This window comes from Homo sapiens, chromosome 18 (genome assembly GCF_000001405.40).
Source record: "Homo sapiens chromosome 18, GRCh38.p14 Primary Assembly".
Classification (NCBI taxonomy): Eukaryota; Metazoa; Chordata; class Mammalia; order Primates; family Hominidae; genus Homo; species Homo sapiens.
This window is the reverse complement of record NC_000018.10, coordinates 44,861,135-44,887,812: the sequence shown is the minus strand read 5'-3', so window position 1 is coordinate 44,887,812 and position 26,678 is coordinate 44,861,135. Positions and strand designations below refer to the sequence as shown.

At 42.6% G+C, this 26,678-nt stretch overlaps 1 protein-coding gene across 19 annotated transcripts in view, besides 1 other annotated feature; it reads right to left on the bottom strand.

The window, feature by feature from the left end:
* The window catches only part of SETBP1 (SET binding protein 1), a 388,438-nt gene that overhangs the window by 180,698 nt on the left and 181,062 nt on the right, over positions 1–26,678 (bottom strand). For 18 of the 19 annotated variants that reach the window (XM_024451149.2, XM_024451156.2, NM_001379141.1 and 15 more), the window contains one exon: positions 18,530–18,583. In XM_024451149.2, the coding sequence (XP_024306917.1) occupies positions 18,530–18,583 (54 nt within the window). Of the gene's footprint in view, positions 1–10,393; positions 11,249–18,529; positions 18,584–26,678 lie in introns of those variants that run through there. The other variant, NM_001130110.2, reaches the window with a different exon arrangement.
* Positions 549–778: an enhancer, noted in NCBI's record as "active region_13258". NCBI's record gives its function as "activates an Ori minimal core promoter by ATAC-STARR-seq in GM12878 lymphoblastoid cells {active_cell/tissue: GM12878}" and the evidence as "EXISTENCE:reporter gene assay evidence [ECO:0000049][PMID:35858748]".

The following is a 26,678-nucleotide window of genomic DNA, read 5'->3' as shown; positions in this document are numbered from 1 at the left end:
CTAATAAGCCCTGGGCATCCGGGACACAATTGGCCACTTGCTCACTACTTTCTGCCTGCCTTTTTCTGTTGTCTGTGGCCTGAGGATTTTACCCACTCTGAGTGGGTATCACTGATGATCCTAGCTTGTCCTTGCTCCTGTATTCTTACTCGGAAGATATTCTGTGGCCCTTGGCCTGAGCCTGTGCACACTACAGTCTGTTTTCCTGCCACTAAGGACTTAGTTGAGAACAGAGAAAAGCCCTCTGTTTTGTCATCTCATTATCAGAGCTGCCTTCTCTGCTCTAAGGGTAGGAGTCTCTAGTCCTATCAAGAGGGAAATTCCCAGGTAATCTTGTTCATGCTCAGAATAGCCAGAGATAGCTGTAAATACCTGGTTGGCTGGAACAATGTGCCAACCAGGCAACTGGGGACTTCCCCAGTGAGAACAGCAGCCCAGTAGATAAAGGAGTTGTAATTTCTGGGTGTGAATGACTCATGGCCTCCAAATGCATAGTGCTCAGCTCCCTTCAGTCATCAAACATGTCCCAAAGGCCCACTAGGAGCCAGATGCTGCATGAGCAATGAGAGAAAAAGGAAACCTCCTTTTATTGGGCACCTACGTTGTATCATGCACTTTACATTGATCATCTCTAATCCTTCCAGTAACACTCAAAGGGAGTTCATGTCCCCACTTGACAAATGAGAAAATGGAAGTTAAGTAATTTTCTGAAGGTCATACATCTACTAAGAGGAACCACACGATTTTAGAACCAATTCTATCTGACCCCAAAGTCAAAGTTCTTCTTAGATACCACACAGTGACACTACTCACTAATTTACCAATTCCTTCACTCATTCATTCAGCCAACAAGTGTTCCTGAGACACTGCTGCAAGCAAGGTCTCTGACAAGCTGAGTGTGAGAAGACCTTTTGCTAGGAATTCGTCACTTTGGAGGAACTCAGTGGGAAACTCTTTGGGACTTTACAATGCTGTTATCTTTGTGTGGTATCAAATGAAACAGTTGGCTTCCTTTTAACTAATAATAATAATAATAATAATAATAATAATAATAATAAAATGTACAGTCCACCAATCTTTCAAAAGGAGAAGTGATTGCCAAACTAATGAAAATCCCAAAGGTGAGTTTTTTCATTATTTCTGATAGGTGCTCATGTTTAAGAGGAATTGGATGTATCTAAAAGGTGACAGGGCCCTTCCTACAGAAATCACCTGTGCTGACCTAAGGGCTAGAAATTTTAAACATTGCTTTTTTACTTTAAATGAAAACCACCTTGACATATAAATATAAAAGTACACTATCCAACTAGGAAAAATATATCTAATCAAAAAAATAAGAAGACGAGAAAGAGGAAGGCTTTGATCCAAGTAAGTTGAGGAACATCTTGGACAAAGTGAAGATTTAAGTAGTTCATCAAGACGGCTCACTGTCCCAAGTAGTAAGCTCTGGAAGTGCTACACCTATATTGAAAATCCTTCATTTGTACTTCTCATAGCCTCTGGAGGTCTCATCTCTACTGGAATGGGATGGACAAGAATAAAATGCTAGAGGCTGGAAGGCTTCTGAGGCATCATTCAAGTATGCACCTCCCATGTGCTACATGAAGAAACTGAGACACACCGTAGCAAAGACACACTGGCCACATAGCTTAGTCCTTTTCTTGATCCCCCTGAATTTTTATTATTAACTTTATAACATACTTTGGGACATGGTCATGTTGTTTTCTAATTTTCCCGTGCATGAGACTTTTGTCCTTCCCAAACCATCCGACTATATGTTGCAGCCAAGCTATCCAGTAAAGCAGGTATGAAGCATAGTTTGTGGCACTCCACTGCAGTTCATTGAGAACTTAGGAAAATAAACTGCATTGAATATAAGACTCAAACACGGAGGACACAAGGAATAGCAGAATTGAAGCAACTCTCACAGGGTAAGTCACCTTGTTTTTTTTTTTGTTTTTTTTTTTTTTAATGAAATGGGCACATGTGAAGCTTCAGGACATAGCCTGGGAGCATGTTTTCCCTGTCTACACACGATCCAGGGTTGGCATCCACAAAATCTCAGCCAACATCTCCAGTCCACCTGCACTCAGGTTGTCAGTGACCTTGATATCAGTTGTGAAATGTTTACTTTCCGAGGTCTAAGGTTACAGCTGTTCAACAATTTTTAACTCCTCGATTTCGCCAAATAAATGGGAGTCAATGCCACATGGATTAGCTTTTTAATCCTATCAGGTTCACATTCCAGGGGATCAGTTTCAATGTTCATGTGTTACCAAAAAGTGGGAATCCAGCACATATTGAATTAGAAACACCTTAGTGATTGCGGTACAGTGTGCTTCCCAAGATATTCTGAAGAATATTACTGCTACAACATACTAACAGGTGTGCCAGGAAAAAAGGATTCTATGGCCTATTAAGTCCCTTTCTTGGGATTCATGTGCTCATTTACTTGTTAAGAGCTCTGAGAATATTGATAATATTCAATGTTGTTTTTTCTTTAACTCTGCCTTTGCCAAATCTATTTGATACAGATTCTTTCAAGAAACATCCATAACATTCCAGGAAATATGATTTTCAAAATGTTGATCAAGGCCATTTCACAGATAAGAAAACTGAGAGCTAAGGTTGCAAAGGGAATTTCTTAGAGTCAGCCAGGTAATGACAACTTCAGGTCTAGACGCCATTCTGATATCATGAAAATCTAAGGTGGTGAGCTTTGCCTGGTTTTAGCTCAAAGTGACAAGGTCCCATCTTTTTATGTGTGTTCATATAAAATAAAATCTAAAGACTGTATTCTAAAAGTGTTATTGGTGATCATTCCTGGGTAGGATTTAAGATGATTTTAAATTCTTTAATTTTAATTTTCCAAATTTTCTACAATACTTATGTATTACCGTAGTAATCAGACATATGTAATAAGAGATGCATATTTTATGTTTGTAGTAATATACCTAGACACTGAACTCATGACAAACTGAGAGACCCAGTTACCCATGCCATTTATTTTTGGAGAACAAACAAACAAACAAAAAACTCTTTGAGGTGCCAGCAGGGTCCAGTAGAATAGACTAGAAGAAGTTTTATTCAAACAAGAGTATTTTCACTGACACATTTGCCATGTGTCATCTCTTGGCAATCATCAAAACTATTTCCCTGATGGCATACTTGTGAATTACTCAGTTGCTGGGGATTCCAGTTCCATTTTTCCTAATGACCTTCTTCTGGCTTCTGAATCCAAAGTCAGTTTACAAAAGTTCTGGACCCAAAACTGGAAGTGAGGTTCATGGCCCCTGGGCTCCCAATGCTGCCATGAGAAGGTTCTGCTGGGACCAACTTTCCTCACCCAGGCAAAAGTGGCAAAAGCCTTGGGAAGGGTGGCAGATAGAGAGGACATATGGGATACACTGACTTGGAGAAAGGCCAGGCTGGAGAGGGTTTTACAATTGCATTTATTGAAAAAGCCCTCTGTTCCAGGCAAAGTGCTTGGTCCGTTACATGCATACTTAATCCTTCTTATGCCAAATGAGGTGAATATTGTTCCCTCCATTGCATGCATGAGAACACTGAGGCTCAGAGGAGTAATCCACCTTGAACAAGGTCATTGAGATAGCCAGTGTTGAAGCTGTGATTCAGCCTCAGTTCTCGCTGATCCTGTACCTGCAGAAAATCCTCTAGTCTACTGCCTTGCCTTTGGATGCTACTTAAAGTATCCAGAGATGGGGTGCTAACTAGGCACATGGGAGTGAGCTCATTTCGTTGCTAGGAAATTTCTCCGAAATAAACTAAAATCCGCCTCTTTCAATCAACTCCCAGTGGTTCTAGTTTTCCTTTGGGGAGCAATTAGTTTAGCAGAAGTGCTAAATCTTTTGTACATAAAAGAGAAATGTATGAAGATGCCATCGGTACATAATACACACTTCCCTGTTGTCTCATGACTGAACAAAAGAGGAAAGAGATGTTAGAGTGTGAGGACCTTGATTTTAAACCCAGTTCTGCAATTTCACCATTTAACAGCTGAGAATTTTTGGAAAAAAAAATTCCCTTAATCTGCCTCAGTGTCTTCTTTTGTAAAATGGAGTTAATTATCCTTGCCTATTTCACATTTCTAGTGCTCACCAAGTATAAGAAAGCACTTAAAATTGCTTCATAAACATAGGCTGTTTATTGTTTTATATCCTGTAAGTAAGTTTAGTGAAGGACCCTAATTGTTCCATGTATGTAAGGAAAGGCCCTCTGGCCATAAGTTTTAGTAGACGGTCCTGTACCTAGTGGAGATGAATTAATATGGTGACAGACAACCTGATTAGCTAATCTAGACTGATACATATTTAAGGAAAGTGGAGTTATTAGGATTAGCACAAGGGCCAACTTTCTCAAAATGGCATGCTTATAGCATATACTTATTTTAAAGACATTGTGGAGAAAGATGGAGGAAGAATATTAGTTGCAAGAACCGAATTTATGTTCATGGCTGAGCTACATTAGTAGCCTCTAAAACTGGCCTAGACTCAAGAGGGCAGACAAAGGATCACACTCCACTGAGATTGCTTTTGATAAATTGCATCTCAGAACATCTTTCTCATGGTGGAGGCTATGTTACCAAGTCAGAGATGTCCTCTGAGTTCATATGTGAACAAATGAATCTCCTTACAGACAAAGAGATAAATCACTGAATATTTTCCATTCCATGCTAATGAGAAGGCAGGATGAGGCAGCTCCATCTCTGCCATAGGTGGTGAAGTTACTGATGTTGGGTACATGTGGCAAGATTTGGTGCCCTCCCCTCCATTCACTGCTTCATATGTTATCTCATGATTTCTGAGAGTCTTTCCTGTCCCCAGTGTGTGCAGGAGACAAGCTCTGCCTCTTATCTGAGAGCCAGGAACATTATCTGAACAGGAGGTAGCTGCAGAAACACTGGTGTCAAACCAAATGCACTGGCTGAAGTACCTCTTTTTAGGGAAAACATACATGTGAACGCACACACACACCCCCGCCTAGAATAAATGATCTGCAAGGTTGCTGAAGCCTATAGCATGAGCCCTGCCATGCTAATCTGATATCCTATGACCTATTCTTCCTGTCTGATCCCATGTCTGCCTTCCCATCTAAAATAGGACCTGACCCATCCTTGTGAACAGGGAGCCCTCAGCAACAGCTGGGGGAAGGAGGGCTTGAGGAGTCCAAGAGTCACTCACTAGGAGGCAATGGAAGCTGCTTTTGAATTTGGAGAATTCTTTCTTTGCAGGCAAAGAGGCCTTTATCATAGGTGTGAAGGAGAAAGAGGCAGGTTAAAAAAAAAAAAAGACACAAAGGTTGCTTGTCACACAGCAGAGGGAAGAGAATAGCATCCCATTCTCCTTCAAGCTGTGGCCCCAGATGACAGCTGAGCATAAGTGGAATCAAATCAGCCTTTAGCGCTTCGTCCGCACCCCCAGCAGTCATAGATATAACTTCCACTTGAGCTGTCAGCCTGACCAAAGTGCTCATGATTAGCACCTTCCTGGACTGAGGGTATAAATGGAGAATCGCAGCTCACTCCTCAAAGTAGTGGCAGCCACACACCCATTCATTTCTATGGAGCCAAATGTAAACAAACAAAAAATGAATGTTTCTGTATACTCTCCAAATTTTGTTTTCTCTACTAAAATATTGGGGACAGCAGTAGATATCTCCCTTTTTTCTGATCTCTTTCCATATGTGAAATGATCTGTATGTTTGACATTCCACCAAATGATTCTCAAAGGGAGACAATGAAAACCCCCGCACCCCCATTTGTCAGTATTTAATGCTTAATGAACTCTTGGCAAGTCTCTCCGCCCAGAGCTACATGTTTGTTATTGCTGCTTAATGGTTATCCGTCCGACACTCCAACATGCCAAGAAGCCTTGCTCATTCATAATCAGAAATATATATTGATTAACTGGTTGGTTACTCTACAGAGAGGTTTTCTGGAGACTGTCACATTTACTAGAACCACCAAACCCAGCTGTGCTCTTTATATTTAAATCCCAGGCATTCTCCAGTGAGGGGCGGGGGCACTGGGTCCAGCCTGCCCCTGCCTCCATCTCAAAGATAATCTCCCTCAGCTGTGTATGAATCTGGATCTAGCGAAGGACATTCAGAGCTCTAAGCCTTTAGGTGCAAAAGATTCTCTACAAATGTACATTCAGGGTAAACAAAACCCATCAGGCCCCTGCAAGAGTCCGATGCCTGATTGCACTAAACACATCACGATGGAATCTGCAATTGGCAAAGTAATTGGCGTTATTACAGCTGATGGGGAATTTCTGATGCTGCCTGAGCTCTCCTTTGAAATAATACTCAGCCATTTAATTTGTCCAGCTCTTGTTTAGCTGATTGCTCTTTTCTGCTGGAGTTTATCAAGAATGAAATGTGCTGTCTCTCTAGATGCCTGCAGTCTCAGATTTCTTTTTGCCAGCACCCTCCCGTCTCCTCTTACCCACCCCTGCCTTAGGTCATTGTTCACAAGATGCCAATAAACCAAAAATGCAATGGGTTTGAGGTGGGTGAATCAAGCTCATTTAATTCAAAGCTGTCCACTTTTGATCCCACCTCCAGAGGTACCTGAACATTCCTGTTATACCATAAAATCATGGTGAGTGACAAGTAAACCTCCAAAACTTGATGGTCTTAAAATAGGCTCACAAAACTTGTTAACTCCAAAGATAAAATGTGTAGTAGGAGACATTTTTGATATGATCCCAAGGCCAGAAAGCATTACAGAAATGTCAGAATTTGTATACCTGAATTTTTGTTAAGGGATTTGCTTTGACCCCTGGGTATATAAGCAGCCCTAGAATAGGTCCCACAAATATTGATTGAGCATCTACTTTTTGCTGGAAGCACACAGACTGTATTTACACCATGCTTGATATAGTTTGGATATTTGTCCCCACCCAGATCTCATGTTGAAATGTCATTCTCAAACTTGGAGGTGGAGCCTTGTGGGAGGTGTTTGGACCATGGGGGCAGATCCCTCATGAATGACTTGGGCTGTCCTCTTGGTGATAAGAGTACTCTAGCTCTGAGTTCGCAAGTGATCTGGTCATTTAAAACATGTGGCACCTCTGCCCCTACTCGCTCTCTTGCTCCTGCTCTGGCCATGTGATGTGCCTGCTTTCCCTTTACCTTCGGCCACGATTGTAAACTCCCTGAGGCCTCCCCAGATGCCAAGCAGATTCCAGCACCACGCTTCCTGAATAACCTGCAGAACCATTAGCCAACTAAACCTTTTCTTTAAATAAATTACTCAGTCTCGGATATTTCTTTATAACGATACAAGAACAGCCTAATACAATGCTCACCCCATGTTCTTTACTTTGGGATTTCTGTTCCTACACATATCAAAGGCGGGAAGCCAAATTTAGCCAGCTGCATTTTCTCACAATACAATTAAGCCTGGCACAGACCTCTCTTTTTTCCATCAGCAAACTACTTGCCCTATCACCACGTCAACAATGGACTATTTGCTGGAAACAAGAGTTCTGCAGCCTGGATGGCTCTTTTCTGCAGATGCCCTCTCACTCCCCCAATGCCCCATTAAATCCAAAACCCATGTGCTTCTTGAATCATCTCTTATTTTTCATATGGAAGCAGCTGAATTTAGCGGTGTGAAAGTCATCATATAAAATCCTAAAAAATCCCCAAGTCCTAGTGCAGTCTCTCCAAACAGCCAAATGCCCTTTGGTCCAGTTCCTCACTGATGTTTCTGGGCAACCAATCACTGCACGTGTGAATCTTCCACAGGGTAGGAGCCAAAGTGGACCTCCAGAAATATGTGGAGAGGATTACTGGGCCTGAGAAAGTTGCTTAAATGAGGCAATACTCTGTGGTTGAATGAACTACTGATACATTTATTAAAAATCATTTTTAGTACCTTATAGCTATTCCTCTTCCATGAGTGAAAGATAAAATGTTAGTTCAGAAAGTGCTGTAGGTGGGAAGAGAAGGAAGCAGTCAATGAAGGCAAGTGTGAGGTGTTCCCTTCTCCTGGTCAAATGGCCCCTACGCATCCTTTAGCCTGTTCTCATCAGTCTCTGTCCTCCTCCTTCCTCTCCTAGGGCCATTCTCCCAGGACTACAGTGTTTATCACTGCTCATTTAAAATGGCAAGCATCATAAACAGCCTAGTGAAAGGTTAGGTGAATCTAGGTTTTGTGGGTTTCCTTTATTTTGTTTGTTTGTTTGTTTTTTCTGTTGGACAATCCCAAACTCTAGTAATATGGTCTTGGGAAGCTGAAATTTGTGCTCTAACCCTGACTTCAACAGTCCAAGATCAATTTCAATTATGTAATTTATAAGAGTAACAAGAATTACAGTGCACATTTATGGAGTGTTTACTAGATGCCAGACACTTTTCTATGGGCTTATCTTTTCAATCCTGTTCAAAACCCCATGGTAGGTATCCTTCCTCTACTAAGGATGACTCTGGCCATAAAAGTTAAATAACTTACAGAGGTCACACAGCTAGTACAAGTCCAACCTGTGATTCAAACTTATCAGTTTGGTTCCAAAATCATTGCTCTTAACTACCAAACTATAAAGTAATGGAAAATGTTCTCTGTGCTTGATACTGGATACAGCAAAGTGGGAGAGATTTATGTTTTGTTGCTAAACAAGCATCAATTTTTACTATTTATAGCTGTAAAGATTACAACAACATCACACAAAGCTTTCCCCTCCATGTATCATTGGCTTGGGTCACCCATTAGAAACATGAGTTCTGCCAGTAACTCTGGTGCATATTTTTAGGAAGGTGAGAGATGTACAAAGGAAATCATGGCAGAGCTGGAGGGTGGTGGAAGAGGATGGCCACTATCAGGGAAATATCCAAAAAATGCAGTAGAGGCTGCCTGCAGTCTTAACCAAGCCTCCAAACACAAGCAAGCAGATGTCTGCAAAAAGCCATGTGAGAGCTGCAAGCTGTTCCACTATGAGGGCCCCTCTCTTTTGGAGGTCTCTTGACACCTCTCAATGGATGTCTTTTGTTTGGTACAACATGGTAGGAAACGGGGTGAGTAGATAGGTGGAAGGACAAAAAGGTTAGAGTGGGAGCCAGGTAGTGGGGTTGGAAAGAACTAAAAAAGTGAGCTTGCTTATTTATTGTGGAGATGGGCCTCTTCCATCCTGAAGAGGGAGATTTGGAACTATCCTGATAAAGGAATTAAGAAAAAGAAACCTCTCAAGCTCTAAAGGTGGTTTGTGAATTTGCATTTACTATGCAGGAGTCATTCCTAGACCTAAAAATATATAAAGCACAGTCATGTATCATACTAACATTTTAGACACAGGAAAATATGATGCTGTAACTAAATCTAGTAATAAACACAGACATTAGAGATACAGTACAAAACATCAATAACCCCAGGTCTCAAGTGAGCAGAATTACAGGAGAAGTTTTAAGAAGCTCATCTTTAGGCCACTTTACCAAAAGGATTGAAGAGAAAAAAAAAATGAATGAAAAACTGAAGATGTAAAGACAGTGGAAAGATTCACAGAATAAGGAAATCTTTGGAGTCTCCAGGGATCATAGACATCATCTACTCCTACTCCCTCGTTGCTAAGGGTATCATTCAAAGTTACTTCAACCAGTTGGCCTCACTTTGTTTATATTTCTGTTCTGAAAAAATTGAGTTTAAATCAGATTTTGAAATACGACATCATATTTGAATATACTAGCAGGGATGACTTATACTGATTTCCTTGATCAAGTGGAAAAAATTTTCTGCATAAGAATAACCACCTACCCCCCAACACCCACCTGTCATCTATCAATTTTCTCACACGTGACCTTCTGCACATTAGGTTTGTTTTAAGTCAGGCCCACCTGCACACAGCCCTCAGATGGTCAGAATGTCTTGGAATTAAAAAACAAAATATTCACTGAGGTCTAGAGATTTAGTATCCCAGGAGAACTTATTAAGACTTCAGAATATTCCACGGAAATGCCAGACTTTCTGGAAAACACCTGGAGAACTTCTTTCTCCAGGACCAAATGCCAATACTGGTTAAAAAAAAAAATCCACTAAAAACACAGTCAAGGTAAGCAGTTCAAAAAATGTATACTTGTGGGAGGAAACTGTTGATTTCATGTAAGAAGAGTAAAAGTGTCAGTTTGGGCTTCAGTGTGAGGTGTATGTATGCACGTGGGCAAATATTTTTGTTAAAAATGCCCTGTTATTGTCACACGTCTGGTAATAATTAAATGGGTTTCCTTAGGAATTATGAGAAAAGATACACATTGTGTGCAGTTATCCTAAAAGTAGCAAGAAAGATACTGTTACGAGTGGAACCATTTTTTTTGGAGGGTGAACATTATTCCTATTACAAATATTCACATACAGGCTTGTAGAAGAAAAAGACAAATAAGGAGTCCAAATCCTACTCTTTTATTAAAACTAGGAAAGCTCAGTGTTGGTTAACTAGAACAGAGCTTATCAAACGATCTTTGATGAAGGACCAGATACTTTGTCCTTAATCCATACTTTTTGTGTGGAAACTTTGGTAAAATACTATAAGACAAATCCGTAGGAAAACAATCACATGCTTGGATATCACAAAAATGTCAAATTGCTATAAAAGTTTCTAAATGTATCCCATGGTGGACCAGCGACACACACTTGACAGGCCAGCTGTGGCTTGGAGCCCATACTCTGTATAGCATGGGGTAAGAGAGCAAAGATCCATGGCATAGCTGATACAAGGCAAGCTAGAAAAAAGGCCTAGAGAGTAAAGGCATGTGTTTCCTAAGTGATCGTCTGAGCAAGCAAACTCATGGGATCAAGCCTGCCCTGGAAGACAGTGAATGCTGCATCAGGGCCGCCTAATGCATTATCTCTTCAGGGCAGCATTGTGAAGCTGGATCTTTTTGGATTATCTTTTAGACCCAGAGAGAATGTCTAGCTAGCAGGCAGAGAAGATCATAAGCCCAAATGCTGTCACTCACTAGTTTACAATCTTGGGCAAGTCTCCATTGTTGAATGGAAAGAACAGGGAATGACCACAGGTGTGGGCTTTGCAGAATCCATGCGAAGTTATACTTCTTGTGCCCAGACTGCAGGTTCACTGTGAAAAGGAAGAGTGAGAGAACCGGGTTTTGCGGGGAATGGGTTCCGGGGGCATGAGAAGCACATGGCACGTTCCTGGGACAGGAATTGCTTTTTGAATGGGATGCCTTGGCCTCCTCTTCTCTTCCAGACTTCCTCCTTACTGGAGTCTTTAATCTAGAAAATGAGGAGGCTGACTTAGATTTTGGAGAGCTTCTGAAAATACCAATATCCAGACCCCACCCAGACCAATTCAATCCACACTACAGGGGTTAGGACTGGATTCCTGTATTTTTCAAACTGCCCTGATAATTCCTGTCTGCAGCCAAGGCTGGGAATGGCAACTTTTCTGGTCTCTAGTGTCTCGTTCCATTTTAAAATAGGGGTGTGGGGGTGTGGGAGGGTGTAAGGAAGCAGCAGCTGCAGGATTTCCTTATACACTGCTTTGCTTTGGGATGGCTCTTTCCTAAACAGCAAAGTAAATATTATGTGGTGAAATCAAAACAAGCAACCTGTATCCTCACTGCTGGCCCTGCCTACCTCTGTCTCATATCAGTTTCCTCCTCTGTGGGAGGGACAAACACCACTATGATTCTCCCTTTGAGAGTTTGGGGAAGGACAGGAATGAGAACAATAAGAAACTATTTGCCAAGGTGGAAGGATTCAAAATGCTATGCAGCAATTCCCTCTATTACTCAGATAAAGAAATTGCTTTTTCATGGCCCTTGTCAAAGATCAAGGAAACTCAATACAATCTTCAAAAACGAAGGTGCAGCCACTTGTCCTGAACTTACCAGTGGTCACACTGGTCTGTGTTCACTGTAGAGACAAATCTAATTCAAGATGGCGTAGCATAAGTGGTTAAGAATACAGATATTGGAGCCAGACTACCTGAGTTCAAATCCCACTTCTAGCACATATGGGCTTGGTGACCTTAACTTCCCCGTGCCTCTGTGTGCTGACTTGTAAAATGGGGCTAATGTTCCTATTAATTTTACAAAATGTTGTGAGGATTAAATGACAAAATACACGTAAAATTCAAAGAACATCTTCCGGCATCTATATATACTAAGTCCTTGGTATATGTGTATTGAGCCAAAAGCAGGGTGAACATGCATTACCACAAACTCCAGTTGAGTCTAACGAGGCTCAGTGCCCTGGAAAACCCAGAGCTTCAATTTCACTCCTTCTTTTTTTTTTTTTTTTTTTTTTTTGAGATGGAGTCTTGCTCTCTTGCCAGGCTGGAGTGCAGCGGCGCGATCTCGGCTCACTCCCCGATCTCGGCAACCTCCTCCTTCTGGGTTCAAGCTATTCTCCTACCTCACTCTCCAGAGTAGCTGGGACTACAGGCACGCAGCACCACGCCCAGCTAGTTTTTGTATTTTTAGTAGAGACGAGGTTTCACCATGTTGGCCAGGAGGTCTCGATCTCTTGACCCCATGATCCACCCGCCTTGGCCTCCCAATGTGTTGGTATTACAGTCAAGAGCCACCGCACCCGGCCCAATTTTACTCTTTCTAAGTGTTGATGCTGAACTTGTAGACAGCTGATGTCCATTTAGAGTTGAGTCAGATAATGGTGACTTTGTTCTGAAAAACATGATCAACCCTAGAAGAACAAGCAACCTGGTAACTCAGAGATTCCCTTTTACAAAATAAAAGAGCTGTCGGAAGACTCTCACTCCCCCAGTTGCCTTCCATTTCCCAGTGTAGGAATACCCATCTGTAGCAAACCAATACATAGACCCTCCTTGAAACATCAGCTGCTGTCACAGCCCCTGCCCTGCTTCAGCCTTCCTTTTCTGTTGGGAGATAAGCACAGCCAGGATTTCTCTCTATGCAGAAACTCCACAGTCATACCTTCCTAAAAAGCAGCTTCTCCTCACAGAATACTTTGGGGTTTGGCATTAAAACTTCTGGTTGAGGACTCATGGAACCCAGGATTGTTCTGCAGATGGTTGTGTCCTCTGATGATCTCTGAGTAGGACTAATTGTGGGGACTAAGGAAAGTGGAGTAACAGTTCATTTGAACAGGACTGAGCCTTCCTCCTCTGAACACTTAATCGTTCTTCCTCCAGGAATGAACACTGCACTTCTCGTGGGCCCTCACTTTGGTTAACAGCATCCCAAATTCTCTAGCTACTGAGAAGCTGCTGGTCCACTAATTCTGCCACCAAACTTTTTGGCATTCATCTCCTCTGTGATACCCCCACGGTCCTCAGCCCACCTTCATTCCCCCCTACTCCTTGTATGGACCAACAGCACAGGCTGAGTGCTTGATGCCCTCTTGGTTTCATCACGCCTTCTACCCATTGAGGAACCTTCATCTATCACAGTTCTGACTCTTCTCTGCCCTCAAACTTTCAATGCCTCCCATTGTCTTCAGATGGATTCCAAAAATCCAAATTCTGTTTCCTGATTCAGACAAATCAACTAAAACATGACATATTAAAAATGATCAGAAAAGTCTGAATATGGACTGAGTATTCGAAAACATTTAAAAATTACTGGTAATTTTGATAGATGTGATAATGGCATTGTGATTGTTCTATAAAAGCCCTTATTTGTTAGATAAGTTAATTAAATTTTTTATTAGTGAAATAACATGATGACTGGGATTTGTTTTAAAGTATACCCCCAAATAATTAAAATTAAAAACCAAAGTAGATGAGAGTATAGACAAGTTTGGAAAATGGTAACAATTGTGGAAGCTATCCCAGTGGCACGCTGGGGTGCAGAGCTGACTGTCAAAGACTTTGCCAACAGGTTGCTAAACCACTGGTAGCTTAAAATTGGTCATGATGGAGATATTTACACAACAGAAATTAGCAGATGCTACAAATGTGGGCTTTTTTAGCAGTATACCATTGAAACTGGGTAACAGGTACATGGGTTTATTATATTATTATGCTAACTTTTGTGTAAGTATGAAAACTTCAGTCATAGTTAATTTTTAAGCCTAATTTATTTTTCAGACTTTAAAAAAACCTATTATTTCATTTTCCAGACCTTTAAGACCTGAAATTTGGCCCCACTTTAATTTGCAAATAATTTCCCACGATGCTCTCCTCTGAGGCTCCACAATTAAACCACACCAAGCCTCCAGATGTACCTAAGCATCGCCATTGTTGTCTTAGCCTTCCTCCATGCTTCCCCTGCTCTGGAATAAGTCCACTGCCTCACTTTTTTCTCACCCATCCTGGCCCAGGTACAACACCACCTCTGCCGGGACGACCTCCCTGCTTGTTCCATAGACATATAATTTCTTCTACATTTGAATTTTCAATTAATTTATTCTGCACTTCTCTAATGGAAGAAACAATACCTCACTGTGCATTTCAGGCATACAATGCTACTTTCACATGCATTGTCTCATCAATGCCCATACTCTCTGTGAAATAAGCTGCACAACTCCTTTGCTTAATAAGGTAAATCAAGATCAAAGACATTAGGTAACTTCGTCAGGGTCACAAAGCTAATATTGGTGGCAGAACATTTCAGAATTGTCAACATCTGGGGAAGGGTCTGTGTATAGCTGGGAGCCCTACAGAAAGGTCTTCCATGGATGCCTGTTGAATGAAATGGCAACTAAGTGAGTGAAAGTTCTGTTTTCTCTGCACTAAAACATGTTTTCCTATGTGTTCTTGTTTACTCTCTTCTTATCTTCCACCACAGCATGCCCTTGACCATAGTAGCAATTGACATTTTAGAAACTCATTAAAAACAGCCACCCTTCATAGGTGGCCATTACACTTGCCCCACACTTGAAATAATACTCCATTTTGCCTAAAGGAAGTATCCTATTCTCTGAGACAACAGAGGGTTTATGTAGCAGGTGAGGACCAAATCCTTTAGTCTGTGCTTTCCTCTGTGGTGGACGTTCGTTGTCACATCACTGTTCCACCACTGTGGCTGGGCATGCAGGACCTGAGTCTGAATATGGTGCCCATGCTATGGCTATTTCCTTACCACATTCCCCCACCTCGTAAGCATGTGCACAAGCACGTGGGCATCACCCACAGGCACTTTACTGCAAAGTTTAAGCAGCCTGCACATTCTTGTAGGAACTGAGAAATAAAAGTAAATAAATAAATGCCAAGAAGCCTTGAATGCTCTTTGCATCCTGGATGAAGGCACTGGATGCCAGCGTTTGCCTTGGATTGCTCCTGGAGATCTCAGCCTGCAAAAGGAATGGGTTGTCCAGCAAGAGGGGGTAGTAAATGAATGATGGTACTAACAACTAGTGCAAGCATGGCTAGCTGCTGGATTTTCCAGTGTTGTGGAAAGCATGCAAACCAACAAAAAATAAGGTAACAAAAAAGCATATAAAATATTACCATTAAAAAAAAACAGATGTGTGTGTCTATGTAGAACAAAGATCGGAAGACTATACCCCAAAATGTCATTGTGTATGATTCTGAGGTGAAATGATAGGGTATTTTCTTTCTGATGGTTTTCTGTATATTCCAAATTTCTACAATGGACACTTACAACTTTTATATTAGAGGGAAAAAAGCATAAAAGAAAAATGCAGAGGAAAGCATATGGTTTTTGGGCTTTTACTAAAGAAAATTAGATGTCAGCTCTTATTCCTCTTAGGAATGCAGGGGACCAGACAGACAAAAGAAGTGAGGGTTCTCATTTCCAGTAACCCAAAGACTTAGAAAGGAGGGTACTCAAGTGTGTCTGTTGCTTCAAAAGGCAAGAACAGGATGTTAGAAGGTAAAAGGAGATGTGTTTGGAGGTAGAAGAGTCAGGGTGGGTTAGGTGTGAATTTCAGAAGCTTTTCCATCTGTGCCTTTAAAACTTGCTGAGAATAGTACCGCCTACCAGCACCAGGCCTGACTCTAGAAGAAGCTCTACCCTGTGGCCCGGAGGCCAGGCTCACCAGCCTCTGGGGAGATCACCACCTGCTAAAACACAATACCCTAGAAAACACGGGCTTTCAGGCTCAACCTGAAAAGTCATGTGTTTATTTCCAGGAATGAACATCGCATTTTTAGTAACCAATAACCATGGGGAGAAAGGTAGGTAATCACTTCCTTACCTTCCTCTTCTCTATCTGGAAGCAGAGAGAAGACAGAGACAAATCAACAGAAAAGCCAGCTCAATACAGTCACTACTCTACACACTTTCAAAATCATCAAAGATTTTGTAACTATCTTCCTTAAGAGTCTAAAGCAGGAACAGGCATCAAGAAAAACAAACAGAAAACCTCTACATTCAAGTGGTAAGTGGGCACCATGCAAAAGCTGAGAGGACAGATAGTTATCCCTGGGAGGGGTCCTCAGTGAGTCCCCTCCTGACAGTCAATGATGGGTCTTGGAGGGGAACACACCCATGCATTATTGTGTGGGACTCAGTTTCATCTGAAACCCAAAGAGAGAAGGGGAAAAATAACAACAGAAGCCAGCAGTTTGGTGCAGTGGGGCTGGAGGGGGCAGTGCAATGCCTGTGGACAGCTTTCTATTTCTGTTTTAAAAAGCACCCAAAAGGATGCTGTTGACCCGAGACACATCTGGGCCTTTCACTAGAGAATTAACTTTGATCTGGGCATTACACCCTGGCCACCAGTTTCCCAGGACTTCCTGGCCTCAAGAACAGGCATCCTGAGGAGTGAAAAATAGGCATTTATGTTTCTTGCCTCAGGGTGATGACACGCAAATGGAATAACATGGAAGGGCTGAACAGAACCAGAGGAGCGAGCCATCTGCACTGGAAGCTGTGGGGCTGGTTGTGGGGGAGGCTGGAAGCTGCCTTTCTAGGATAATGCCCTCAAATGTTATGCACGAACCTCAAATATAGCTAACTTCTCCTTCACTGGAAAGTTTGCTCTATTAGTTTAAATCTAATATCTAAAAGTGTAGGTCAACAAACACGGAGAGAACGTGTTCAGCTCCGAAGGAAACCATGCCAAAACCACGCGCACACACACAACTCCAATAAACTCAGTCTCTACCGGGTGTCCTTTTCAAGCAGTAAAACAGCACCACACAATTTCCTTTAATGTTATAAATTTTCAGATTAAAACAAAATATTTACCTGGAATTGCCACCATGTATGAGTGTAGGTGTGGAGGTGGGTGGGGTAGGCGGTAAATGTTGATTTTCTTTTGTTTTTGTTTCACATTCCCTTAGCCCAACTGGAAGTTTGTGTAAATATGTGAAAAAGTAATTAATTAAAGGTTTTCAGTGGTTGACAAAAAAGGCTTACTGGCCATCTCTGTCTAAAAACTCACTACTTTCCAGACAGGAGGATTAACAAGGTGAGATGACAACACCCCACACTGGTGTGCGAATCTATCTTTGATTCTCACCAACAGGGCCCTTGATTCTGTTAATTCTCTTCCTCTAGCCTCCCACTGTCACCTGTTCCTAGCTCTCTGTGTGATCTGGGGCCACTGTGCATCAGGACTGGGTCCTCAGGTTCCTCAGCAGTGAGAGGGTGCGCACAGGATGTGGCTCACATGGGAGAAGGGTAGGGAGGGTGCAGTGGGCTCCTGGATGTGAAACACCTTTAAAGAAGAAAACGTGCCCAAATACATGAAATTCCTGCAATTAGAAACATATTTGCTCGACCCCTGGAAGTTCGCTGCCGTTAGCTATAATTTATTTTCCCACAAAGGTACAGCACTGTGAGACCTTGAGGCAGGCACTGAGTTGAAGGGTGACAGAAAGTTTCATTTTGCAAGGGGGACAGCGGCAGGGGCCAAGTCCCTTAATGATCACCTTTGGATTGATCTTTCTTTATGTACATGTTCTAACTACACCAGGCTCTATGTGAGCACACAAGGGCTTTTGTATAGCTGAGATTTGTGTGTATGTGTCTTTGTGTGGACTCCTTTTCCAGAGACAGGCAGGATGATGTCCATTTTCACCCCTGCAAAAAAGTCTCCAGAAAGCCCTTGCCTACATCCTCACACAGTTTGCCCATAGTAACCTCCAAACACCACTCTGGCCAGAGATAACAGTGGCCCATTTCCTGACCAAGATCAGCAAACCTCAACTGTCTGCCTCTGCAGGAGTCTGAGATTAACTTGGCTATCAGGCCTTGACTAGGAGGCATTTGCCGCAAAGATTACAGACATGCGAGTGTCCTGTCCAAAAAGAGAGAAATGCAGGGGAGAACCCCAAACCCAACCCACCCTCTGCCGCCATTGGTTTAACCCTTTCCTAAGCTGAATCCCCAACACTTAACATTCCGAGCATCTTGATCTCTATATATTTTTCTCCTATAGAATATTAGGAACGAAAGAGCAGAAAGAGGTGGTTTTGTCCATGCTAGAATGAGAGGAGCTGGAGGAGGAGAGCAAGCCACCAGGTCATTGTCAGTTAGCTAGGGAAAGAAGCTAGAAATCCAAGGTTCGGGTTTCTGTCCTGGCCCCAAAGGTGCTTGTTGACAACCAAACTCTGGATCATTTTACTCTTCCAAACTTCTTAAAAGCATCAGTGGAACTTACCTGTGGCTGAAATCCTTTGAGGTCACTGGCTGCAAGGTCACTGGCTGTGAGGAGCTGCAAAAGAATAAAGAAATTTTCTCAGTGACACTTTTCAGTTTGCATACAGTATCCCCACGACAACTGACCAGCAATGGACTTACCATAGCCTGGATGAGAGCTACAGAAGTGGGATCGCAGAAGGCAAATGTGAGATTTCTGGACTGGGAATCTAGGCTCAATGGCCTTCCCACTTTGTGCTCCATCTCTGACTTCATCACTTCTCTCTTGCTGCTCTCTCTAAACTATTTCTATGTGCTATCAGTTCTTCAGAGGGTCTTAAATTAGGAACCATGGGCTATGGATGGCCTTCATCAGGTCCATGGCTCCCTGAAATTGTAAGTATGTGTGAATCTATAGATGTATATATTTCCTTAGAGAGATGGGCCCTGGCTTTCTTCCTGCTATCAAAGTGGTCTGTGATACAAGAATTACTGCTTCAGAGACAAAGGTCCATCTCCTCTAAGAGGGCTTTTCCTTCCTTCCTTCCTTCCTTCCTTCCTTCCTTCCTTCCTTCCTTCCTTCCTTCCTTCCTCCCTTCCTTCCGTCCTCTCTCTCTCTCTCTCTCTCTCTCTCTCTCGCTGGAGTACAGTGGCATGATCTTGGCTAACCACAACCTCCGTCTCCCAGGTTCAAGCAATTCTCCTGCCTCAGCCTCCCAAGTAGCTGGGATTACAGATGCCTGCCACCATGCCCGGCTAATTTTTGTATTTTTAGTAGAGACGAGGTCTCTCCATGTTGGTCAGACTGGTCTCGAACTCCTGACATCAGGTGATACGCCTGCCTTGGCCTCCCAAAGTGCTGGGATTACAGGTGTGAGCCACTGCACCCGACCATTTTTTCTTTCTTTTTTAAACAAACAAAAAAAAAATCAGCTCAGTAAAAATGACCCTCTCCTCTTTACAGCTACATGTGACTCAGTTTCCCTTTTTCATATGTTGCCTATGATTTTATACACTATTTAGGATTTTATACACTATTAGGATTTTATCATTTATACTTCAAACAATCATATACAACATAAAAGAATAAAAGTCAGTTATATGTACTTTCTGCACCTCTGTGTTTAATCAATATTAAAGACTAAAGTTACGGTTTTAAATATTTTTGCATCCTTTCCAGGGTTTTGCACAAGAAAACATTAAATAAAAATGTATGATTAACTAGCAAAATAATCACATTCTTATAATAAATGCTGGGAAAGTGTGAGATAAAGAGGAAAAGGCAGATGCTTATTTTGATTCAAGGAGGGTGACTGCTAGCTTTGTTAGGCCTGGAGAGCATTTGTGAAAAATAGGAAAGACTTCATGTTTGCTGTAACAATGTTTTGTTTGGGTCAAGAAAGAGAAGAAATCATGCTGAGCCCCAGGGCCTCCAGCCTTCAGAAAAGCTCAACTGGAATTTTTAGCTTCCTTAAATGACTGCCAAAAATGGTGCTTAAGTGATGTTGAAGCTAGGATCCAGCAGAAGAGAGGTGGAGAAGGTAAAACCTGCACTGTTCCCCACCCCCCCATTCCCCATCCTGCAGGCTAGATCCCCCCATGTGGAAGGTGTCTTGGGGGCAGGCAGCACCACCCTGGTGGAGAGCTGGTTTGACCCCTCTGATGATAATTAAACAGCCAAGCCACAACACATTAGGCCACTTACTAGGAACTAAGGGTGAAATGTAATGATAGACTTTGTCCCTGCCTTAAAGGAACCTAAAGTTTGGTGAAAGAATCAGACATGCAGACATGTGTACATCAGTGGGAGCAGAGTGCAGTCAAGTGTGAGCATCAAACTGGGGAAATGAAGCAAGAGCAGTCAGGGTGGGCTTGTTGAAATAAGATGGAGCTTGCATTTGGCCTTGATTTCACATGGAAAGGTGGCAGGGCAACGCACTTCAGGTGGGAGCAGGTGCAAGAGCAAAGATGTGAAAAAGGAAATGGCCAATCCTAACACACCTCCATTTGCATCTGTTAAGTGCCAGCCACAGCCGACCTTAAGGAGAAAGGTAGGGAATTAGGATACGGTGAGGATCACCTGGGTGGCTGGCATACTGGGTGCTGCTTTATGTAATTTTTCATTTTTAATATTCACAACTCCTTCATGAGACAGAAAGTATCTCCTCTTTACTGATGGGAAAATTGAGACTTACGAAAGCTAAGTAACATTTTCTAGGTTTCACAGCTAGTACATGTATTTGGGATTTAAATCCCCAACTATATTTTCCCAAAGCTCATGCTTTTTCCTCTATAATAAAATGCGTCTGAATTATAGCACACTGGAGACCATTTGTTGAGGAGATATGGCACGGGAAAAAAGCTGAGTGCCAGAATATTAGTCAAATGAGCCACAGAAAGTAACATAAAGCATGTATCCTGGTGAACAACCCTTAACTAACTCTTCCTTGCAGAAATGCTTGTATTTAATTGATAATGACCATTTATCCATCTGAATTTATCAGTAAACCTTTACCTCTAGCTTGAGCTGGGCATAAGATTCGTATGGAGCTGGAAAGGACGGAAAATAAAAGGCTGGGATGAGGTACGGGCATGAGAGTGACCTGTGCAGGAACACGCCCACCAACATGTGTTAGTATATTGGAACCAGTGCTCAAATTCTCCAGACCCTGGGCGTGCAGAAGGTAGATATCTTCCTAGTTTTGTTTCGTGCTGTTGTGTGTATTTTTACTCGTCTATTTTTCACCTAACAAGAACATGCCCAACAAGACCCTGTCTAAAAAGACGATGGCTTCTATCTTATGTAAATTTTGCATATCTCAATGTGTTGAGAAGAGTCTGGACATAAAATTATCACTAAATAACCTGTTTGTCAAATGACTTAAAAGGAAAATGGAAATATTGTCAGCCCAGAGGTGAGGACCAGAATACCTAAATTGCTGAGCCTAGAGAACAGAAGTGTGAGAGGCAGGCTTAAGATATCTTCCAAGCCAACAAAAGGAAACAGCACTCAGCGCCTAGCATGTTTCCTGTGTGAAGGAGGCACTCAAATATTTGAATGAATTAATCAACTCAGGCACTGGGGACAAGCTCTTCTCCAGCCACTACAGGTTTTACTAGAAGAATATTGGGTGGTGTTTCAGTGTAGAAATTGGAGGTTAAATTTAAGGAAGAACAATATAAAAGGGAAAGAAGCTGAATGGTGAATAAATCCATCACCAGGGAGAGATAGTGGTCTCACCCCTTGCACTGGTTGAAACAGTAAAATGTTAAATGGGCCCATCCCAGTTCAGATGTGTTAGTGCATCTGATGATGTGTGGGAGGATACAGGGATATAATGTCAGGGATGGAACTCAAATAACTTCTATCTGGATTCCTTTATTTGGGAGATTTGGAATGTTTAACTCACAAACTAGCATGCATTGAAGGTGTTATCTGACCTGGGAAACAACCAAAGGCAAGGCTTGTGACATCTCACAATGCGTCCTGAAAAAACGGTATGTACAACAGTGTGTCTTTCCTCACCATTACGTCACAACCCCCTTGCCTTTCTGGCTTTTCTGGCCTTCTGCCTTCCTGGCCTTTCTGGGTTCTAACCACGCTCTAACCAAATGCATGGGCTGTTGGGCCAAACATAAACCCTGCATCTTGAGCACTCCCCTTTTCAAAGCAGATTATTTCCCATAAGTCTACAAATTACACACCAAGGGATGGAGAAACAGCTGAACCTCAGGCACTAATATATGGTGCTCAGGTGTGGATCAGAAATAAAGGAAAAGATCACAGACCACCTACATCAGGATATCGCAAAAGAGTTCCATTCTTAGTGTCAGGGCCTGAGGGAGGCAGTTGGAGGTCCCTGGAGAAGAGGAGAAAATCATTGTGTCCCCAGTGGGCTCAGGAGCCACCTCTGCTGGGAAACTGGGGTGAGAAAATGTGTAGACAAAGGGCGTGCACTGTGCCTGTCTCTCTACCTTCACTCAGAGTGGCTCTGCTTTTCCCTGGTTCTTGTATGCGACTTCAGTTGAAAACCAATGTTTGGTACTAAAACATACCTTAAAACTCCAGACTAAGTCCTTATTTTGCAGAAGAAGCTGATAAGTGACATTTTCAAGATCACATTGCTAGTTAAAAATAGGATTGGTTAAGTCTGCTAACCCTGAGCACCTCTGCAGAAATCTCCACTCGAGATTATATCTGTCCAATCCAGCGCTGACAACCAGACATAACTGGCTGCTGATTTCTACCCTAAAGCTGGGATAGATTTGCTCAGAAATCCAGGGGAAATTGAGGCATGGGGAGGAAGTACACATGTCCCTCCTCAAAGCCACTGCCTTGAAAAGCGCACATCCTAGACCCTTCTCTACTGCCTCTCCTGCTTGAACCCTATCTCCACTCCATCCCATTGGGAAACAGTTCACTGCTCATGGTAGCCTTGTTGTGTCTAGGGTTGAGGGGGATCCAAGACAGGGAGGCAGAGAGGGAGTAAAATGAAATTCGCCATGGCCCTAGGGACTCCAATCAGGCTGGAGTTAATGAAAAGGATCCTGTCTTTTCCCAGGATGGCTAAATGTCCGCACCGCTCCCAGCTAGAGGGTCGAGAGGGTGCGGGGTGCAGAGGGCAGACAGAATTACATTTAAAAGGCAAAGGAAGGAGAAAATTCTTTCATCTCCCTGGTGGAGCCCGGCAGTGTTCCTGGGGCCCTGCTCAAACCAATCTCATTCCTGACATGTCTTGCTGCTCTCTGGAACAGTCCACATTCAAAATATTAGGAGGATGACCCTGCCTTCCATTTGTTGAGGAGCTGCAGTTTCTCTCTTGGCATAAATTCAGGTTGCTTTCTTATTTTCTCTCTCTCTCTCTGAGCTTGAGGGCAGGGTTGGAGAACAAGGAGAATTGAAGGGAGATGAAGGATGCTGTGGGGTCCTAAGGAGGTGAGAGTAGAAATCCCTTCAGCTTCCTAAGCAGCGGCATTCTGCTCCCTTGTCTTTTTCAAACTCTGTTCTCTGAATGGGATTCTCTCTTTGCGTCTCCCACCCAAAACTATCCATGGTACAGCTGCCACTAGCATTCCCTTGTGACCTCTGTGAGCCTAAGGCTGTCCCTCCAAACAGCTGCCCTTCTCCCTGCAAACTTCTATAGCTTCTAAACCTTCACACAGGAGGGGAGGAGGTGACTCCATTTTTTTCCCCTCTGTCCTCCTGCCCCAGGAACAAACGTCATGTCCCCTCTGCTGGCCCTTTATCAAAAATGCATACTCCATTTGGATAGAGTGGGGCCTCACATACCCGCACCAATTGCTCTGGCTGAACCCAGATGCTTGCATCTGGGAAGGGGGACACTGACACAAAAGGCAGGGTGTGGGTCATGCTGAACATCTGGCCAGAAGGATCTTATGCAGCTGGACAAGCTGAAGACTGGTGGCCCTGGGGATACTCCAAGTCATTTGCTCTTCCCAGATTATCTCCTTTCTTATGGGCCAAAGCAAAGGATGCTGGCACATGAATGGACAGATGGATTGATGCATAGGTAGCTAGGTAGGTAGGTAGAGAGACAGAGTGAAGATGGCTTTGGCGAGAACAAATGACCCATTTTCAAATTTACCCTCAAAGGTACCATCCTTTTGTTAAGTAAGCCTCCTACTTCACCTCTCCTCTTTTCAATCTGCCCTCATTTCTATTTGCAATGTAGGAAATGAATCTTTTTCTCCCTCTTTATTTCGTAAAGTGTTACTCACTTCTTACTTTGGCTCTAGAATGGAAGTTGAACTCAGGCCCACCACAACCTTTCAACCCATAAAAAAGTTCAGAACAGCCTACGGGTAAGGAAAATTGTTCCAGCAAGCCGAGGCAAACATCTAATCATATGTGTGCAGGGGGCTGCTTGAGATGAACTAGCCCCACACTCTCCATTGTAAATGGCAACTGAGGCACAGAAAGATAAAGTGACTTACCCAGTGGAGAATCAGAAACAAAAAATCTAACTGTATGTATGCAACCCAAAGAAAGTTTCTAATATCCAGCCATACTGGGTACTGGGGACTCTGAAACAGGCAGGAAGAATTGTAAGATATGTCAGGGGTCAAGACAGAGAAAAGGAAAGGGGTCTAAGGAGGGCTTCTACCAAGCAAAAGGCTCTGAAATGACCAACCATGAAGGAGACCACAAATCCATTGGGACCACAGAAGGAAATCTGGAAATTGGAAAATAAGGTAGGTAAAATGGAACCAATAGGTTGCTACTCTTTCCAAGGATAAGTGAAACACTGTCATACAAAACAGCATTGGACTTGGAGGGAAACAAACAAACAAACAAACAAACCTCTGTCATAGTCCTGGTTCTGCAACAACTCAATATGGGATCTGTCATGGGATCATTTACCTATGCAGGTCTCATTTTACCACCTATGAAATGAATGTCATTTTCCCTTTGGCCCTACCCTGCCAGCACCCTAAAGCATCCCTCTCACCCCAAGGCTGGAGAAAAGATGGAGGGACACCATCTCCTCTGTCCCCTGAAAATACACACCTCTAAGAGCTTGTTTACACTTTGTGGAAGAATTCCTATTAATAATCAGAAGGTCAGAGGGGAGGACAAAGAGATAGTCTTGTACTATGGATCTGTTATTGGCTTACAAACAGGAATTTGGACAGATGGCCACTCAGACTGCTACATGAGTTCCCCATTCCAGTGAGGCTGAAGTCAAATCCACACCCTAGCTAACAGTAAACAATCTTCCAATTCAAAAGGCATTAGTTCAAATGGCCAAGGCATTGGGGTGGGGGTGGCAGTGGACGGGTAGTGTAGAGACCGCGGGGGTGGTTTCCCACCAGCCTAAGAAGCAAGTTATATACTCAAAATTGCCATCCTAGCTGAACTGTGTCCTTTTGCTAAATCCTCTCAGCCTCATGAAATTTTAAAGGTTAAACCTGAAATCACTGACACCTCCAGTCTTAATTTTAGGCTCCCTTCTTAAAGAGCAACAAGGATGACTAATAATAACTTTGTACATAACTCCAAGCAAGCCTGGTCTTGATTCCTTATATTTTTCTTTTATTGCTTCTTTAAATGATGGGGTTCTAATATTTACAGGTGAGATCTTTAACAAAATCCCCCAGATATGGAGCCAAGAGAGCTTTTATATATATTTTTAAAGACTCCATGTGTAACCTTGGCACATACAACCCATACTCTTACAGTGGTGTGTACATTTGCTTGCTGTCCAAGTCATAGCTATTTCAACTTCTGGGTGGAAATGTCTTTAATCCTCCACCTTTCAGATTGAAGAGATAATTAGAGACCACATGAAAGACGAGACCTCCAAATGCCCTGATATAGACTCACTGAGATGATGAGTCTTGTTTTATGTTGAACTTAATGAACCCAAAGAAACTTATTTGAACTTAATGAACCTACAGAAGTTTGTCCCACCCCTTTAAAACTTGACATATAATTTGTTTTAGATGCAAGAAAACTGGATTTTATGTAGGGCATCTTCTGCGGTTTTTGGGTGAGAAGTTTACATAGGTAAATCTGGTAGAAACTGGTGATATGGATGTTAATATCAGCATTTATTAATCATTTCAGTCAAAAGTGGCTCAAGAGACTAAAGTAGTCTCTGGGGTTCATTCAGGATTAGTAGGTGATAGAATGTATTTGAGCCTGGCTTGGCTAACTCATGTTCTTTTTCACTACATCATAATATCTTATGAGCCTCTGGCTACCTTGGGTATGTATACTGTTGGGAGCTCTATCAGGTTGTCCATGTTGTATCTAACATTCTGAAATGAATGATGAATAAGAAATCCACTTTGGGAGGCCGAGGCGGGCAGATCATGAGGTCAGGAGATTGAGACCATCCTGGCTAACACCTCATCTCTATTAAAAATAAAAAAAAAATTAGCTGGGCATAGTGGCAGGTGCCTGTAGTTCCAGCTACTCGGGAGGCTGAGGCAGGAGAACGGCATGAACTTGAGAGGCGGAGGTTGCAGTGAGCCGAGATCACGCCACTGCACTCCAGCCGGGGTGACAGAGCAAGATTCCGTCTCAAAAAAAAAAAAAAAAAAAAAAAAAAAGAAAAGAAAAAGGAAATCCACAAGACAGTGGTTTTCAAACTGTGCGCTAAGAAGCCCTGAATTTCATGGAAGGGCCTTGGGGATTGTGAGGTGAG